The sequence below is a fragment of the Homo sapiens genome, chromosome 18 (genome assembly GCF_000001405.40).
Source record: "Homo sapiens chromosome 18, GRCh38.p14 Primary Assembly".
Classification (NCBI taxonomy): Eukaryota; Metazoa; Chordata; class Mammalia; order Primates; family Hominidae; genus Homo; species Homo sapiens.
The window spans coordinates 30,276,461-30,296,201 of record NC_000018.10 but is presented as its reverse complement, the minus strand read 5'-3'; the positions used below and the strand labels follow the sequence as shown (position 1 = coordinate 30,296,201).

Here is a 19,741-nt window from a genome sequence, read left to right as displayed (position 1 = left end):
ATCATAAAGTGGGTGAAGGATATGAACATACACTTCTCAGAAGAAGATATTTATGTGGCCAGCTAACATAAGAAAAAAGGCTCATCATCACTCACCATTAGAAAAATGCAAATCAAAACCACAATGAGATACCATCTCATGGCAGTTAGAATGGTGATCATTAAAAAGTCAGGAAACAACAAATGCTGGAGAGGATGTGGAAAAATGGGAATACTTTTACACTGTTGGTGAAAGTGTAAATTAGTTTAACCATTGTGGAAAATAGTGTGGCAATTCTTCAAGGATCTAGAACCAGAAATACCATTTGACCCAGCAATGCCATTACTGGGTATATACCCAAAGGATTATAAATCATTCTACTCTAAAGACACATGCACACATATGTTTATTGCAGCACTGTTTACAATAGCAAAGACTTGAAACTAACCCAAATGCCCATCAATAATAGACTGGATAAGGAAAATGTGGCACATATATACCATGGAATACTATGCAGCCATAAAAAGGATGAGTTAATGTCCATTATAGGGACATGGATGAAGTGGAAAGCTATCATTCTCAGCAAACTAATACAAGAACAGGAAACCAAACACTTCGTGTTCTCACTCATAAGTGGGAGTTGAACAAAGAGAACACATGGACACTGGGAGAGGAACATCACACACTGGGGTCTGCCTGGGAGTGGGGACTAGGGAGGGATAGCATTAGGAGAAATACCTAATGTAGATGACGGGTTGATGTGTGCAGCAAACCACTATGGCACGTGTATACATATGTAACAAACCTGCATGTTCTGCACATGTATCTCAGAACTTAAAGTATAATAATAATAAAGAAATTACCAAATGTTGGGGATGCAAAATGTGCATATCATGTAGTTAAAGGATTTGAAAATATTTAAAATTAAATCCACTTATAAAGCTTATATACCACTTTTAAAAGATTTTAGTATTTTTAATGATAGATCATAGAAAAAATATCCAAACCTAGTTAGTGTAGTTATAATTCAAAAGCAAAAGTTAAAGCTATGTTCAGCTAAAATTTAAGTGTAAGATCTGTGAATATATCCATTCAGTTAGAAAAAATAAAAACTAAATTGGAAGTTAAGTTATATGTCAGTAGGGGACAGGTTGATCCCAAAAATGTTTCTGCAATCAACGTGGAGGGAAACTATCTGAATTGCACTAACAATGAGCCTTAAATTCTCACATCATTTCTGAGCTGCTGATTCACTGCTGTAACCAGTAACTGAGCCAAGTGTTTCACACGTATCTCTTTGTGTCTTTTAACTTCAGATATCATTGGAAAGAATGAGAAAATCCATCTCTTTTATTGTTCTACACTTGACTGAAATATTTATTTTTATGGTTTAAAGGCTCAGGGAAAATATCTTAGTAGAGAAAAGAGAAACTCTACAAAATTAGAAGAAAACTCTCTTCATTAAATGGCTACTTCATGCAAACAAAACAACTTTCATAAAATATCTTTTCCCTGTGAAATGCAAGTGATTCTTCTTTATTAATATGATTGCAGACTCTAAATTCTTAAAGTCTTTTTGCTCTGTGTTTGCCAAATCTTATGGAAACACTTGAGTAAAGTAAAAAAGGCAGCATACTAAAATGATAGTAGTTAAATGTATGCTAGGATTTGGCAAAATTCTTTTTCTTTGTGCCGTAACAATGGAGCTTGTCTAGAAATACAACTTGCTCTACATTTTGAAATGGATAGGCATGCTTAGCCAGAATGTAAGTAAGTAGTACTCTATTCACACACTATTATGTCCTAAGGGGGTAATTTAGACACTGAAACCTCCAGAAAAATGATTGACACTTATTGTCATCAGGGAAGTACTCCTTTAACTTTTTTATTGATTCACTTTTTCCCCCAATTATTTAATTGTTCTTATATTCAGCAAGTACTGGTTGAGTACCTACTATATTTAAGGCATTGTGAAAGACACTGGAAATACAGTGGTAAATTATAAAGTGTTCCTATTTATCTTTATGGAGCTGAGCATCTGTTTGAGAAAACATTAAAAGAATAAATACAAATGTGATGAGTATTATAAATTATAAAAATTCAGGATGATAAGAAAATATGAGATCCAGGCCACGAATTTCCTTCCTTGATGATCCACTCAGAAAATATTCTTATATTTCATAGGACATAACACAAGCAATAAACAATTAGCACTAAGAGATATAATCCCCAATGTGTATTGGTGTGGGTGGGAGAGAAGATAGGAAAATGCACAGAATAAAGTACATCAGTTGCTGACTGGTATTCAAAAAAGCACTGCAAGAAATTTAAAAGGAAATAGCAAAATTAAAATCTGCCCATAAGTGCCTTGTGTTTAGTGTGAAAATTCCTTAAATTATATATTTGATGTAAGTATATTTTCTGTATTTAGGGTTTTTTTAAAGTTGTTTTTCTTAGCAACAAAAAACAAAATCCTAGTAGGGAAGAGTTGGCATCACAGCACATAAACCTAGTGATATAGATGACAAACGAGAATAAGCAAAATTCTATAAAGTACGGAATATGATGAAAAGACCAAAAAATGTACGGAGGAAGGATTACAGAGATTCAACATATGGAAGTTATTTATTCCTGCAACCAGAAAAAAACAGTGGCACAGATACAAAATAAAATGTATATAAGAAATGTTCTGAGCTGAACAAATATCTTTGCCTTCAAGTCATATTTCAGATATATTAATGACAATTGTCTAGATAAAAATAAGTAAACTTAGCAGAGAAAAAAGGAGGAGAAAATATGAAATCAATCATTAAAACAACAGCAAAAACAACACAAAGAGAAAAAAGAGGCAGACAATCCTAGAATAATATCAAGATTATCATTTAAGAATGTAGCCAGTTTTAGCATACTTTTTAAGATAACCAAAGTAATTCTCAAATTTTCAAATTTTGATAAAATATATTATCGAGATATTTTTAAACTCACTCAAATGCAACAAAATGTTTGACAAATTAATGTAAATTTTTAAGATTTGAAAAGTCACATCAAAAGGGGATAGTGAACAGCTAAGCCAACAAAATAAGGTAAAAACAGGTAAATAAATATACTTTATTTTTAGGATAATTTCTGATACTAAATAATTGCTAGAGATTTAATTATTATTTTAAATTGGAAAATAAAATGAAAATATAGTAATTTAAAAATAAAATAAAAATACATTTTTATGTCTTCAACAAAGAATAGTCAAATTTTATTCTTTTCGTATTTATAATTAGATAAATATATTTCTTTTTTTTTTTTTTTTTTTTTTTTTTTTTTTTTGAGACGGAGTCTCGCTCTGTCGCCCAGGCTGGAGTGCAGTGGCGCAATCTCGGCTCACTGCAAGCTCCGCCTCCCGGGTTCACGCCATTCTCCTGCCTCAGCCTCCCAAGTAGCTGGGACTACAGGCGCCCCCCACTACGCCCGGCTAATTTTTTGTATTTTTAGTAGAGACGGGGTTTCACCGTTTTAGCCGGGATGGTCTCGATCTCCTGACCTCGTGATCCGCCCGCCTCGGCCTCCCAAAGTGCTGGGATTACAGGCGTGAGCCACCGCGCCCGGCCAGATAAATATATTTCTACAAATAACTTGTAGAATACATTTTTAGCTAAAGTCTTGTTGGTTTAAAAACTGAATACTTATATTCCAAATCACCTCAGAACTAATGTTACAACAGAAAAGTTCACAAAATGGAGACCAAATGTAGATAGCAGTAACATTTTTGTTATGATATGAATTCTGTTTATAGAAAGCTAATTTTTGAGACTGTATCAAAATAAAAATTGTGTCACTATCTGCTCCTACAGAATTAGACAAAAATAAAATGAGACTGACTAATTTAAATCTAGATACATATTGTGGAAACCTGCAACCAGTTAAGAAAAAGATAGCAATATTATTATTAGGCAAAGATAATAGCAAGAAAAAAATACTCAATTGTGAATACAAGACGATTTTGAACTTTATGTACCAAGTTAACATATATATGCAATTAAAACAATTGTTAGCTATTTCAGAACAAACAGATTTGTAATCTTATTGGCACATTTTAGCAAATTATCATTAGTTCACCCTATACAAGAATACATAAATTATAAAACACAGAGGATTTGGTCAATCTTATCAACATAATAGAAACAACTCATATAGAAATCTTTATACTTCGCTCACATTTTTACATCTGCACTTATAATTTCAATGGGTTATTTATATAATTTCCCTTTATATTTAAAGCCAGAATGATATTCTCAATAATTTAAAACATATAAAATATTTTAAGTTAGTAACTATAATTATCTTTCATAATAAACTTCCCATTCAGCATTGCAAACTATTGGCATTAATCAAAGTAGAATATTCTTAATACTATAGTAAAACAGTAAATAATACATTTTAGGGGGAAGGAAACTAAACAATGTAGATTAAAACATATGGGCAATGGCAAAATCATCATTTCAACAGTTTTATTATTAGTGTTGACAAAGAAGCTTAAACTAAATATTCAAGAGAGGATGTAGAAAGGGAACTATACACATAAAACAAAGTTTTAAACAATGGGATAGAAAAGAATGACATTAATATACCTATGTTTTTATTTATTAAGTCACAAATTGATAAAATAGATTTCCAGAAAATATAATCAAGAATAAAATAGCAAAATGTTCCTCATTCACATCTATCAGCAGCATTTTGGGTGACACACAAACATAAGATGTAAAGGGAAGTTTGTTGAGGAAAACATAATCTTAGTTATATTTTATTAAAAAGAATTAAGTTAGATACTTAATGTGAACACAGATAATGCACCTTAGGTGCATTAGGATTAGTCCTGAATTCTGACAAGCAGGCATATTGCTGAAAGGTAAGAGTGGAAAACTTTGTCTTCTTTTTGATAGACGTGAGTTTTATAGTTGCATGCAATATTTGGATGTCCTCCATTTCCATACATTTGAACTGACTGAAGATTTCAGAAAGCTTTGCAAATTTGGTTTACCTAATTCTTCTGGAAGGTCACTTATTCATTTATACGATGGTTTTAAAATAAAAGAATAAAAGCAGAATAGTCTTTCTTGAAATGTGGCTTTCCTGCAACTAAAATCACTATGATACCAATAATTTCTATTCCCTATTGTGGTCTTCAAAATTCTGTTTTTAACCTTCCTGTTGCACATGGTTTTCCTAGACTATTGTTTCCACGTGCATCATTTTAACTTATACACTGATAACTCCAGAATTATTATGACCAGCTTAGACTTATAAAACCTGCAGAACTCAACATTTTCACTTGAAAGTTCTCCTAAAATCTCATTCTTGCTATAGCTCAAATAGAACCTAACACTAACCCATAGGAAAAACCTGTATTTCCATCAATAAGTGTAACCACCACTCATCCAAGATAAAAACCTGACAATCATCCTGTATGTTATTCTTTATGCTGCCAACCTAACAAATCAAATTAAAGTTACAATTATATTCTAAAAATATTCTAAAAATTTATATTCTAAAAATATTACTCTTTTAAGGTATTCTCTATTCTCTATCCCTACTACAAATAGCAAGCATCTCTCAGGTGGTTAACTATATCCCAGATTGCAAATCCTACTTTTAATTTATCCTTCACACTATTTCCACTATTATTTCCCTCACTTGAAGTCTACATGTAAGCTCGATAGCATTGTAGACATGTTCCTTCAATATTTCCCTAGTTTGACTTTGCAAACATTTCCCAAGAGTTGCTTTCTTGACTTTATGCTGTACTTACCGAACTGCTTTTTGTCCTGATACCATTTTCTCTCTCATCTCCATGATGTTGCACTTGCTGTTATTTCCTCAAATATCTTCTCATCCTTGTTATCTGTTATTACTAATGCATTCTTCAAGGCTGTGTGATCATCCCCTATAAAGCTCTCTCATTTCTTATAAGTGCAGTAAGCTCTTTTGCACAATATATTTTATAAACCTATGTTCCTCTCTTCCATGTTCCTCTGCTGCTATCTTAATTATATTTAAAGTTTCTTCTGTATGTTTCACAGCCAGAAGGATTGCAGTTTTGGTGCATATAAATAAGCAATCTGATAGGAATAATTTTAAATAGAATATCATACATTAGAATTAGAAAAAGCTAAAGCAGGCAAAGAGTGAAATATTTTCTATTAAAACCTTGAAAGAAATAAAGGCAGTTACTGTTAAGATAGCCTTGTGTTTAGACCTATGCAGTGAAGAGAACATTTGCAGACAAGAGCTAAAGATAAATGCTTTAACATGAACTCATCGTGCACAAAACTACAATTCTATTCAAATATATTCTCTTTCTCCAGAGCCATACTTTCTGCACAGCATCTCTTAACATACAACAGCTGTAAAAAGCATACTGCTCTTCTTCTTTTTACCACACCCATTTTTCTCTTTGTTGGGATGTCATATTAAGAGTAAATTCCACAGCAAGGCTGGGCTCCAAGTGATTTAAGATTTTAATGCAAGTCAATTTCAAAACAATCAAAATTAACTTTTATTGTACTAAACTGAAAATCATTGCAAGCATTTGTACTTTTTTCCATTGAAATGCTTTTAGAAACAAATCTGCACTTCCTTTTTCAGTGTGTTTTAGAAATATTTGCTATCCAAAAACTTTGTACATTTTGGGTTAAATTTGTTTGCTTATTTGTTTTATAATTTAAAATGTATAACTTAAAGTTTAATACCTCACTATAAACTCTTCACCTTAATATAAATATAATTGCACTCCTCAGTCTCTAAGCATTCAAATTGAGGGGAAGTTATAAGGGTTAAAAGAGAGGAAATGCACCAGTGCCAGAGAAATTTTATCAGTGTCTAGCAGCATCTAAGAAACTTGAAGCAATTCCCCTTCTTTTCACCCAAATGACTTTGGTCCAAGCACATGCAAAGTCTATATTAGAGGTTCTTAAACGTTTGCATGAATGATGCTCACCAGGGTAATCAGAGTGCCGGCCCCACTTCAAGTGTTTCTAATTCAGTAGGTCAGTAGGGGGTTCTCAACAATTTGCATTTTTAACAAGTTCCCAGGTAATGTTCATCCTGCTGATCCAGTTTGAAAAGCCCTGTCTTTGGGAACTACTAAACTGTCCTATGACCTATTTTTGTTTCTGATTTTTTATAAATACTGCTTGTTCTATATGAAAGCTCTTCTCCCAATTCTTCACCTGACTCTTACTCATTTTCTCACAATTCACTATTTCGTAGCATTTGTATTTGTTTGTTTCTCCTGTATTATATAGGCATCATTGGAACATTCAGGGGTTTTTGGTTTTTTTCTTGGTTTGTTTTGGTACTCTCACTCTAATATCTGGTATGACGTCATGGTAAATTGGAATTTTTTAGTATTTGTTGCATAATATGGGCCACGGATATTTTAGTACACTTTTTAAAGGGACATTTTGAAATATTGGCCAGTTACGTTATTTAGACAAAAAAGTTTATCTTTATACCTAACCAATCTGTTTGATGATTTGATGTTGCATAGATTTAACCCAAGCTACAAAGATATTATGATATTATTTATTTTCATATGCAATTCCTAAACATTGCTTTGAAGTAACATTAATCTACAGTATTTGAGGAAGGAGGAAATATTACTATTCATATTTCTCAGAATATGGAAGGAATACTAATAATCATCATTATTATTACAACAAGGAAGACTAAGAAACATGTTATGTAACAAGACAGCAAAAGAGATGAAAACAAGGCCCAGGTAAACTGGCAACGTATACTGTTTTCTCAAACGCTTCTTCATTTATTTCATAGTGTATGTGTCTTCCAAGTTATTTTATCCAGCGTATTCCAGCCTGAAAAAGAGCTGAAGTTAACTTGGGTGTATACATATTGGCGCAGTCACGTCTGGATCCCAGTTCTGCCACCCACTAATAAGCTGTTCCCTGTTGTGAAGTAAAAATGTAAAGTGTAAAACACACCAGAAACGTGTTCTGCTATAACAGCAAATCTGAAATAAACAGAATCTTTTTTAAAAAGCAAGATTGTAGGAGTACAGAGAGCATTTTGTATATGATTTTAATACAAAAAATATTTTCCTGGTAAAACCTTATGTGGTTTACCAAATACATAAGAGGCAACAGAGGAAAACTGTGAAGAAAGCTGTGTACACATCTTGGGGCTCTGATTTAATCAGAAATTTCTTGAGCTTTGGCTCCCAAGATTTTTAATCAAAATGTTACTTTTTCTAATGAATATGAATGTATTCATGTTTATGAATACGTGGATATACATGATTCATGAATACATTGATATACATAAATGAGAAAATATGATTTAGGATATGCTGTATCTTTTTAATACACCATGAACATGGAGTAAAACTTTCAGTTTAATCAATTTATCATTGGGCTGTAAAATGAAAATTGCACTGGACACTTATGAAAACAGCAAGGAAGATTTTATTCAAGACTATTAAAATAGGGGTCAAGACTATTGCAATAGTGAGGAGAAATTGAACTCTACTGAAACAAAAGGCAGAAGGATTTTAAAACTATGGGGTGAGCTAATGGAAAAGTATTGGAGGACAGTAGGGGAGGCCAGGTCAATGCAGGCAGGCTATCAGTATTTGGTAATTGGTGCTTATCAAAAATTAAACTCCTGCTTTCCCACAGAAACTGGGAGATATGGATCCTATCTTTTTCAATCATTACATTTCAAAGGGATCACTCCCAGGTCCTTGAGAAAGATTTCTGGGTGTAGAATATTTATATCTCGAAGAGGCAGAGAAAGAATTTAAATAGGAAGTTTTCTTTTATTTTTTTCTCAAGGCCTAGGAAAATGTTTTATTTCAAAAACATTTGCCTGGCCTCACACAGCCAGTGTTTAACCTACAGCTAGCTGTCTTTTCTAAATTATTATTATACTTTAAGTTCTGGGATACATGTGCAGAATGTGCAGGTTTGTTACATAGGTATACACGTTCCATAGTGGTTTGCTGCACCCATCAACTCATCATCTACATTAGGTATTTCTCCTAATGCTATCCCTCCGCTAGCCCCTCACTCCCTGACAGGCCCCGGTGTGTGATGTTCCCCTCCCTGTAACCATGTGTTCTCATTGTTCACTCACACATATGAAATGAGAACATACTGTGTTTGGTTTTCTGTTCCTGTGTCAGTTTGCTGAGAATGATGGTTTCCAGGTTCATCCATGTCCCTGCAAAGGACATGAACTCATCCTTTTTTATGGCTGAACAGTATTTCCATGGTGTATATGTGCCACATTTTCTTTATCCAGTCTATCATTGATGGGCATTTGGGTTAGCTCCAAGACTTTGCTGTTGTAAATAGTGCTGCAATAAACATATATGTGCGTTTGTCTTTATAGTAAAATGGTTTATAGTCCTTTGGGTATATACCTAGCAATGGCATTGCCAGGTCAGATGGTATTTCTGGTTCTAGATCCTTGAGGAATTGCCACACTGTCTTCCACAATGGTTGAACTAATTTACACTCAAACCAACAGTGTAAGAGTGTTCCCTTTTTTCCACATCCTCTCCAGCATCTGTTGTTTCCTGACATTTTAATGACTGCCATTCTAACTGGTGTGAGATGGTATCTCATTGTGGTTTTGTTTTGCATTTCTCTAATGGCCAGTTATGATGAGCTTTTTTTCTTATGTTTGTTGGTCACACAAATGTCTTCTTTTCAGAAGTGTCTGTTCCTATCCTTCGCCCACTTTTTGTTGGGGCTGTTTGTTTTTTTTTCTTGTAAATTTGTTTAAGTTCCTTATAGATTCTGGATATTATCCCTTTGTCAGATGCATAGATTGCAAAAACTTTCTCCCATTCTGTAGGTTGCCTGTTCACTCCGATGATAGTTTCTTCTGCTGTGTAGAAGCTCTTCAGTTTAATTAGATCCCATTTGTCAATTTTGACTTTCGTTGCCTAAATTGAAAGTTTTCTAAAGAAAATAAGATTCAGGAACTCATAGTCAGAATTAAGCCTGTCTAAAGTTTAGTCAGCCTGAGGGTAATGTTAAGGTCTTATTGGCTAGTATATATAATGCACAGTTTGAAGTACATAAATTATCATTATAATATTAAAAAAATTGCAGTCTGATGGGGAGGCAAAAAATGGAATTAAGTTAAAATTAAGTGGCACACACCTGTAGTCCCAGCTGCTCCGGAGGATGAGGCAGGAAAATCGCTTGAACCTGGGAGAAAGAGGATGCAGTGAGAGACCATGCCGTTGGACTCCAGCCTGCGTGACAAAGCAAGACTCTGTTAAAATAAATAAATAAATAAATAAATAAATAAATAAATAAATAAATAAATAAAATAAAACACTGAGGTTGTCTTGAACGCATTTTAATGTTTTCTTTAGGATTCAAAATTTACAATACAAAATACTTTAGGGCTTTCCGTTTTTAAAATCATACAAGTGTAAAATGCCAATGAGTAAATAATTCTCTTATGAAAATGTTGAGTCTAATTGGAGAAAAATTATGCAGAAGAATGTTCTTTTATTTTTTAATATAATAATTTTTTATTTTAATTAATATCATCAGTATTGAATTCTAAACAGTTTGAAAATCTAATTTATATTATATAAGGTAGCACAACTATGAAAACTGGGTAATTGAAACAATGATTTACATTTTCAGTTTTTTAAAAAAGAGGCATTAACACAATATTTAGTACCATCAAAAATATAGTTTTATAAAAGTGATTTTTTCTGTATTCCCTTGAGATCAGCAACATGTTGATATGAGTAGTTAAAAGAACTCAACTTTCTATTGAAGTTTACTATTGTAATTTCTGCCAGTGAAATCACTCTACTGTATTCTTCAAATTATATTGAAGGTATTTAAAGTATTTGGCTTGTCTTTAATAATTTATTGTAAAATTATTAAAACTTAAAAAGACTAAGAATAGAAATAAATAAGGTTGTATAGAAACTTACACTAAAAGTACACAGCTGAGTAATTTGGAGTAAACCTTCAGGACACTCTTGACCTTTAATCTCCATTAGGTTCAATGCAAAAACAAAAGCAAAACCAAAAGAAACAAAAACACTGATCAAATAAACAAACAAATATAAAATTTAAACAAATTCTTCTATCTCTAAGGAGAAAACAAGAGGAAGAGGAAAAAAAAAAACTTTCCTGGTTGATTGCTATTTTTCCTGGAGGGCCCTGAGATTTACTGTCTATCGGAATAAAATTAGTCTGTGCTTTGAAAATGATCCAAGTCATCTGGCTTTAGCACTTCCAGGCTTCTTCAGAATAAGATTGAATTGAAGGCATCAAAAGTCATTGGAGTAAATTACAATAATAGCTCTATGGTAATATTGATAATGAGGCATATAATGAACTGGACTTCATTTTGGAGATTCTTGGTGACCAAAAAGAGAATTGCAAATGAAATGGAAATTTAGAGAAGATTAATATGGGATAAAGAGAAAAGTCTATTTTAAAAGGTAAAAATTCAGGTTAGTTGCAATTAAGTGTAATGAGATTCTACTGCTAAGTGAAAAAATCCATTAAATGACAGAAATAATTTAAATACTGAGAAATTCTGAGATGAAACAGCAAAGCCCATATATCCAGAAGAGTTGGCCTATCCTGATTTCAGTTCCTGAAAACCCACAATGAATCTATTTCAACCACAGTCCATTTTGATCAATTTCACCAATGATCCAATAACCCAACGATATGTCAAATAACCCAAGAACATTTTATTTAACTTCACTGAATTTATTGTTAATGTTTTGTTGAATTATTATTGTCACAGGTGTATATTTTATCATTTTAATGTTTGTCAGTGATGAATTTCCTGAACTTACACAGTGTGTTTGTTCAAGCTTATCTTGTACATTTTTATTTGTGTATATAATGCTATAAGTTGATCTGTCTATCTATCTATCTATCTATCTATCTATCTATCTATCTATCTATCTACCTATCTGATAGTTAATATTATGTGTCAATGACTGGACTAAGGGATGCCCAGATAGGTGGTAAACATTATCTCTGGTATGTCTGTGAGGGTGTTTCTGGAAGAAATTAACATTAAAATTGGTAAACTGAATAAAGAATATTGACCTCATCAATGTGGGTGAACATCATCCAATCCACTGAGGGATCAATATAACAATTAGGTAGAGGAAAGGCAAATTTGCTCTATTTTCTTAAACTGGGACTTCCATTTTCTCCTGTCCTCAGATATTGGACTTCCTAGTTTTAGGGCATTCCAGCTCTGAGACTTACACAAGCACTGCCCACCCCTAACCACCCTGGTCTTCTACTCTGGTTGTCAGACCCTCAGAATCAGATACAAACATAATTATATTACCACCTCCTTTCCGGGTTCTTCAGATTACAGACAGCAGATGGAAGAACTTCTCAGCCACCATAATTGAATTAGCTAATTATATATATATATTCTATTGGTTCTGTTTCCCTGGAGAGGCCTGGCTAATCATCTATCTATTATCTATCATCTATCTATCTATCTATCTATCTATCTATCTATCTATCATCTATCATCTATCTATATATATATATCTATCATCTATCTATCATCTATCTATCTATCTATCTATCTACCTATCTATCTATGGAATTTACATAGAAAATAACCACTAAACAATATTAAAATGGTAATAGTAATGATTCACCCGTGCATTTTTGTGTTCTTAAAAACCCACTTTCCCACTGACAGTCTTGTTTTTCATTGTTATGAATAGTTCCACCATTTACCATCTGTTTGAATTTCAACAAGCCTATTATCCTTTCTGAACTTCAGTTTTCTCACTGGTGAAATGAGGATAGCAATGCCATTCTCAGAGAATTATTCTGAGGAGTAAATGAGTTTATTCAGATTATGCCAAATTAGGGGAATGGAGGACGTTGGGAAGTGGACCATGTAGGGAAGTTTGTTGATGTTCATCAATGAAATATATCACTAGAAGTGACTTGCAAAATAATCTAGTCCTTTTCAACATTTACAGATAAGGAAACTAAAGATCATAAGGTATGATGATTTACCAAGCTGTTATATACACAGCTTGTTAGAAACCATGGCCATATTAGAATCTGGTATTCCTAATTTTTAAGTCAGTGCTTAGAATGCATTTCTTTAGATATGCTAGGTAATTAAACTTAGGAAAATAGCATTAACTGTGATGAAAATAAATTACCCTACTGTGTGTTTTAGCAAGACACTTTAGTTTCCACTCCTGAATTCTCATCACTTTTATTGAGAGATACATGGAAACTTCCAGGTCTATGAGTATTTTATGTTCCATTTTTATACTATGAAAACTCAGTAAAAGGTTAAAACTAATTCCAAGAAAGTATACAATTACTTGCAGTATATAGTTTTAACACAAGTGTTTTCTTCAGGAAGAAAAGGTCAGTTGAGTAAACATACATGTTTTTTCTGCATTCAAGGAAATACTACAATAATTTGTAACACTTAAAATCTAGAAAGAAAATGCATAGACTAGTCCATTTAATTATCCTGGAAACGTTCAGTACATACACACATGTGTGCACACAATGCAATCATTTAATCAATATTTGGGGAGAATAAACTTAATAGATGGCACTAGAGAAAAAGCACATTGTAGAGTGAATGCTGGAGTAAGTGCTGTAGCTTTGTAGATTTTTTCTTTCTACAGTCTTCCCTGTTCTTTTCTGATTGGATATTACAAGAATAATTTATAAATTTGGGCAGAATTCTTGAGTCATGAGTATGAAATATTTTGTGCTATAACTCCTTTTAATTTCATGAGTAAAAATGGAATTATTTTTTCCATCATAAAGGGTACTTTATCATCTGGAAGTTTTCAAATACATGCCTCTGATAGGCAGTTATCTTCTGGTAGACTGATATCTTCTGTTTATTGACATAATTGTCTTACTCAAACAAAAATAAACTAGTACTTGTATATAATAATAATATGTTTAAAAATAAGAATTGATCGAATTCTTTGTTATATATTTACCTAAAATCCCTGATAATCCTTTACTTGTATATATAATAATTAAATACCAATTACCTCTCTTAAAAAATTAAGTTTATGTACTGTATTTTGCAGCATTTACTTATTAATTAATATTTAAATTACTTCTCAGTAATCAACATTTATAATTTATAATGTATGTATTCTTTTAAAACAACTGATTAATACAAGAAATTGAAAGTAATTACTTCATTTGCAAGCTAATAACAATTGATACATTATTTTCCTTTTTCTAGCTGAGATTTTGTTTTCTTTTAATGTTTTTAACAACATAGTCTCCTAAGTTTTCCAGCTGAAATAGCTTAGAGACATTACAAGTATAGATAATCTCAAAGATCGTCATCAATTAATGAGACACAGTTCTTGCGGTTAGCAATTCAGAATAAAGAGAGAACAAGCGATTATGTTCTTGACTGAAAACTGGTGATTGACTCCCTGGAAGCCTTACTAAAATATCATTTTCTGTATGGCTTTCTCCTGGGCTCTAGTTATTCAAAGTGTCAGCAGTAATTTGTTGAAACACATTCCATCCTGTAATATAGTCTTGTGGCCTGAATTTGGATAATATATTCTTTTTAATAGCAACTCTGCAGTGTATTTGAAGTAAGTTCCATTTCACAGATTAATCAGTGTTGAGGAAACAAAATATCCATCAATCCTCATATAAATTACAAAACCCAGCTTAAATTTTTCTCAATCTTGTTCCACAACGGACTGTCAAAAGCGAAACACCATAAAACACTCACTTGCAGTGAAAACACATTTCTGATTTACTGAATAAATCTTGCTCAATTGCCCTAAAACATTAAGCTCTTCACACTTCACATGGTCTTCTCTAATTGTGTTTTCACTAGCTTTGGATTTATAACGTAAGCTGGCCTGTGGGTGAAAGGGAGGATATTAGAAAATCAGTTGAGAACACACAAAATGCAAGTTGAATAGGGACATTTCAGAACTTAGATATGGAAATAATATTTTCTATACGTCATAATGGGAGGAGTAAGATGTATGCAATTTCAAACCTTAACAAATATATCTTCCATTACCGGCTTAATGACTCAAAGGCCTTTGTTTAAATTTCCAGAGGAATGTAATGGTTTATTCCGTAATGAGTCAGCAGGGGGCAGTAGGTATCATTGAGAAAAATGACTGAAGCAGCTGGAGCAAACTGTTTTTTCCCAGTGGGTTTCCTCACAAACTCTTTTTAAGAACAAAACTGATACTAACAAATAGCTGCCTCTCTCTTTGTGGGTGTTTTCATACACCTGATTTGGAAATAAGCTCATGTAAAAAGCAAACTATTATTCTCAATCTCCCCAGAGAATACTTGTTGAATGTATTTATTTTCAACGGGAGAAATTTAATCCACGTAATTAAAAACCCTTTATTGGGACATCAATAATAACATATTTGGATTTAAGTGAGCCTTTTATCTTGATTTAAACATCTTATATGTTGATATGAGTGACATTCTCACCCAGTTCCATATCAAGGAAAGATATTTAGCCATGAATTTTAATTTTGCTATGAATTTGAGTTTAAATCATTTAGAACGTAGACTACTTAGAAAGCCAGTGTTTTCTAAAGCAAGTTAATAAAACATTAAAATTAGTGTGATGTCTTTACTTTAAAAAAATGCTTCAATGAGGGTGTTTGCTTTTGTTCTGTTTTTGGTTCTGAAGTCCATTAAAAATACAGCCCTATGAAAATCTCCTTACTACAGTGGTTACTATGTAATAATGGTAGCTCATTATATCACAGAGCCACACAATAATAATTTGCAATCTGTCATGTGTGAAATCTTGCACTGAGGCAGATAAACTCTGGCTGCTGAAGTGTGCTCTGTATCATTGCATTGGATATAATAGCACAGATTGTCTAACAATATATGATGAAAACACTGTTTTTTTCTATGAGTAGAAATTTGATTACTCTAAATTATCATGCTGCAAAATGTTTTAAATATCTTTAAAAATAAGTTTAACTGGAACTTTAGACATTAATTAAAATGATTCACCACAATTGCAGAAAATCCATTAGGAAGGAAAAAAAAAAAAACCGAGCTGTTGTTGTGATTTTTTTACAAGCTCAGAATGATTTGAATAAATACCATGTTCAATGCTATCCATGATCCTATCCTATTGCCTTTTATTCTTTAATGAATATGAAAGGGATGATGAAGAGGAGTTTACAAATGAGACAAGCCATGACACTCACATGCTGAATAACATCATGGATCTTACCTGCCAATGAAACTAGAAAATCGAAATTGTTCTGCAGACTGACCCTCAGGTAAAAATGAAGTCTCTTTCTCTCTCTGTCTCTTTCTTTTTTTTTTTTCCAGTTGTGATTTTTAAAAAGCTTCCAGCTGTATTCATGCTATGTATACATATCACAACTTATATACATACGATTCAGTACACTGTAATCAAAATTTAACTGCTGCTGTTGGTAAAAATTTCCCTAGATGTGTTCAGTAATCATAAAATTATCTTTATGTCTATAATGTTTTAAAAAAGAATGTTTGTGTATAAATTTTATCCCTCTGAAGTAGGTTTGAAACAACTGCAGCTTACTAGGAAATACAAAATATAGGAAACTAGTTTGGTGAGAAGTTTAAATGAGTTGCAAGGCTTGCTATCAGTATGTAGAATGCTTATAGAATGGCAAAGAGGTCTTGGAACGAGTTCAATTAGTTTAGGATGAAGTACATGAACAGGGTCTGCCTCATTGTCTCTTTAAAAAGGATGAGATAACTAGCTAGATACCATGATAAAACAGATACCCTAGTTAAGATGAGGTATGCATTGAGATTCGTAGGCAGCAGCATATTTTCTAAAATTGGGTACTTTCAATAAAAAAAGGGGCAAGTTATGAAAGAATAAAATATTAACAGCTCAGTTTTCTGAGTGAAATATCTCTACTAATATGGAATTTCTGTGACAGTGTCATATTTCTTAGTTGAAAGGCCAATTACAAGAGCAAATACAGATATTTAATCCATAATATTAATAATAATAACTAAAATTTCTTGAGCTAAAATCCTGCCAGAACATTCCAGAATACTTTCATATATTGTCTTATTTTAATGTCATGACAAATCTAAGGACTGATAATAATTTTATGACCATTTTCTAGATGTGAATATTGAGGCAAAGAGTGATTCAAATGCCCCATGTTCTGACAGATAGTAAGTTGTGGACCTGAAATTTGTATCTAAGAAATCTGACTCTTTAAGATTCTGAGTTTAGTAATTTAGAGTCCCTAGTAATATTTATAATGCTGTTTATTGGGAACTTTGAAATAGTTGGCAAACTTACATTCTGATTTCCTGTTGTTAATTAATATTTGGGCCATTGACATGTCATTAAAAAGCTTTGGGTTTTATGTTACTAATGGTCAAAAATTGAAGTCAACTAACATTGAAATTGTCTACTCTCTTTCAATTAATTAACATGCACAATCTATAGGGCCTTTTGAACCATGCTTGGAAGTTTTCAATATGTCTATTCTGATAAAGTTGAGTAAACCGATTGATGAGATTATATTTCATTAAACAACAAAGTGTAGGTGACCACATAAGATCAGAAAAGTTCTGAGTCATGTTTAGCTGTGCCTTTGAGGAAGAGGGTAAATATAGTTTAGGCGAAAAAATTTATACATTAGAAGTCAAAAATATTATATACCACAAGTATTCTATTGTTTCTAAATTGTAAAGTTAGAACATGCTTCTATATTTCTCTTATGCCCTTCTTTTCCACTTTCTACATTGCATGACCATTATTTATGCATTTTCCTTTTATACCATAATAGTCTTCTCAGCTTGTGATCAGGGTCCCAATTCACATCATATATGGATCAACAACATGCATGAAATATTAATAAAATTGAACAACATACAATAAACATTTGCTACGTATCAGAGATTGTGCTAATTATTTTATATTCATGACTTGATGTAATCTTAACAACAGCATGAAGTCCTGATACCACAAATAATTAGTTTAAGTTTATATAATACTAAGTGGTGAGGTTGGAATCACTTCTGCTAACTCCAGATCTTAAAGTGGAAGAATGTGGTGTGGGGAGTGTGGTGAATAAACAAATGAATAAATGTATGTCTCTATGAATGAATTGCGTGGTTCTCAATTACATTTTATGTTACATGTGGACTAGATTTTCTGTATGTGCTTTGAAAAAATACATATACAACAAAAATTGCTAACTTTCATAACATGTTTCCTTATATTTTGGAACTCTTTCTCACTAGCTGTTTTTTTTTGTTTTCATTCCAGGATATAAACAATTCAATGTTCTATTCCTCTGTGGCTCTTTGGAAGTTTGTATGTCATTGCTTACAGTCCAAGAATTTACTGAGTTTTTGATAAATTGCCAAAAGATTTTACTGTCATAAGCAGTAGAATATGAGAAAAGTTTACCCCCACATATATAAGAAGATTTTATATCTTCTTCTTCTAATCTGGGGTGTGTGTGTGTGTGTGTTTCCTTATATGAATCATGGTTAAAAAGCCAATGCAGTGAGTTGGGGAGAAATTTTTTATTATTGCTTTAATTTTTAGGGCAGTACTGCTTGAGGAAGTTTATTGTCATTTCTATTGTGAACACTTATTCTTTTATGTGCTTTGAATCACAGAGGTGGAATGGAAAGTATAACCACAAAATGAACAAAATGTCTGTGTTTTAAAATTTGCAATTTAAGCATGATCTTAAATAGGACATCTGACATGGTGAGATTTCCAGTGTTATAATCATCATGCTTCCAAGCAAAGAAAAGTTAGCACAACTTACGTTAAAAAAAAAGATTGATTACATTAATTAAAAATATGTTTTCAATGCTTGTCTGTCAAATAAACTAAAATCAGATTTAAAAACATTATCAAGATTTTAGCATAATGGTGATGCTATGTCAGAAGATTTATTAAAAAATTAAAATTATTTCTGCAAATTGTATGGTCTAGATATATTAGTGATAGGCAATTAAAAAGTTATGTTTGTAACTTCATGTGTATAAAATGAGATAGAATGTGGGTATTTCAGTCTGGATTAATCATAAGTATTCTGTTGTTATTTTGTTTGTGTGTTTTTATTTTCTGTTTTTAGGTTTTTTTATTATGCAAGAGCTACTATAAGCATTTAAACAAAATAAAATTTAGAAGTATCATTTTGATTCAGGAGGCATGTAGATTACTAAAACAGATCAATGCAAGTTTCTTTTAAATTTATTAAATTATTAGTTTGGGAAGTCATTTTAAAATGGCCCCACTGAACAATTTACTACTAAAAATTAAGAAAATATATTTCAAGATAGCTGAAATAAAAGCCACTGGTAAAATACTATATCATATAATCAAATAAAAACTTTAAAAATACAAATAACTGATGGCAAATGCTAATACTGTCCTTACTATAGGTCAGAGGCGAATATAAACAATATTTTTGTGTAGTCTAATTCATAAAAGTATCATAATTATCCTCATTTTACAGGTGTAAAAATGAAGGTAAAGAGAGGTGTAGGAAGGTTACCAAAGGTCGTGTCCTTATCAACGGAACAACTGGGATTTGAATTAGGTACTTTCGTTCAGTGTTTGAGCATTTCTTCACTGTTTTTAACTGCCTCCTCCATTTTGCTGTCATCTTCAGGAACCTAAAAACATTACATCATTTTAGTACTCACCAATCCTTTTTATCTACAAGCTCAAG

The 19,741-nt window shown here is 32.2% G+C and overlaps 1 annotated feature.

Moving 5' to 3' along the window:
* Positions 6,696-7,281: an enhancer, noted in NCBI's record as "OCT4-NANOG hESC enhancer chr18:27868886-27869471 (GRCh37/hg19 assembly coordinates)". NCBI's record gives its function as "activates a minimal SCP1, AML or CMV promoter by ChIP-STARR-seq in primed H9 embryonic stem cells {active_cell/tissue: H9 hESC(primed)}" and the evidence as "EXISTENCE:reporter gene assay evidence [ECO:0000049][PMID:30033119]".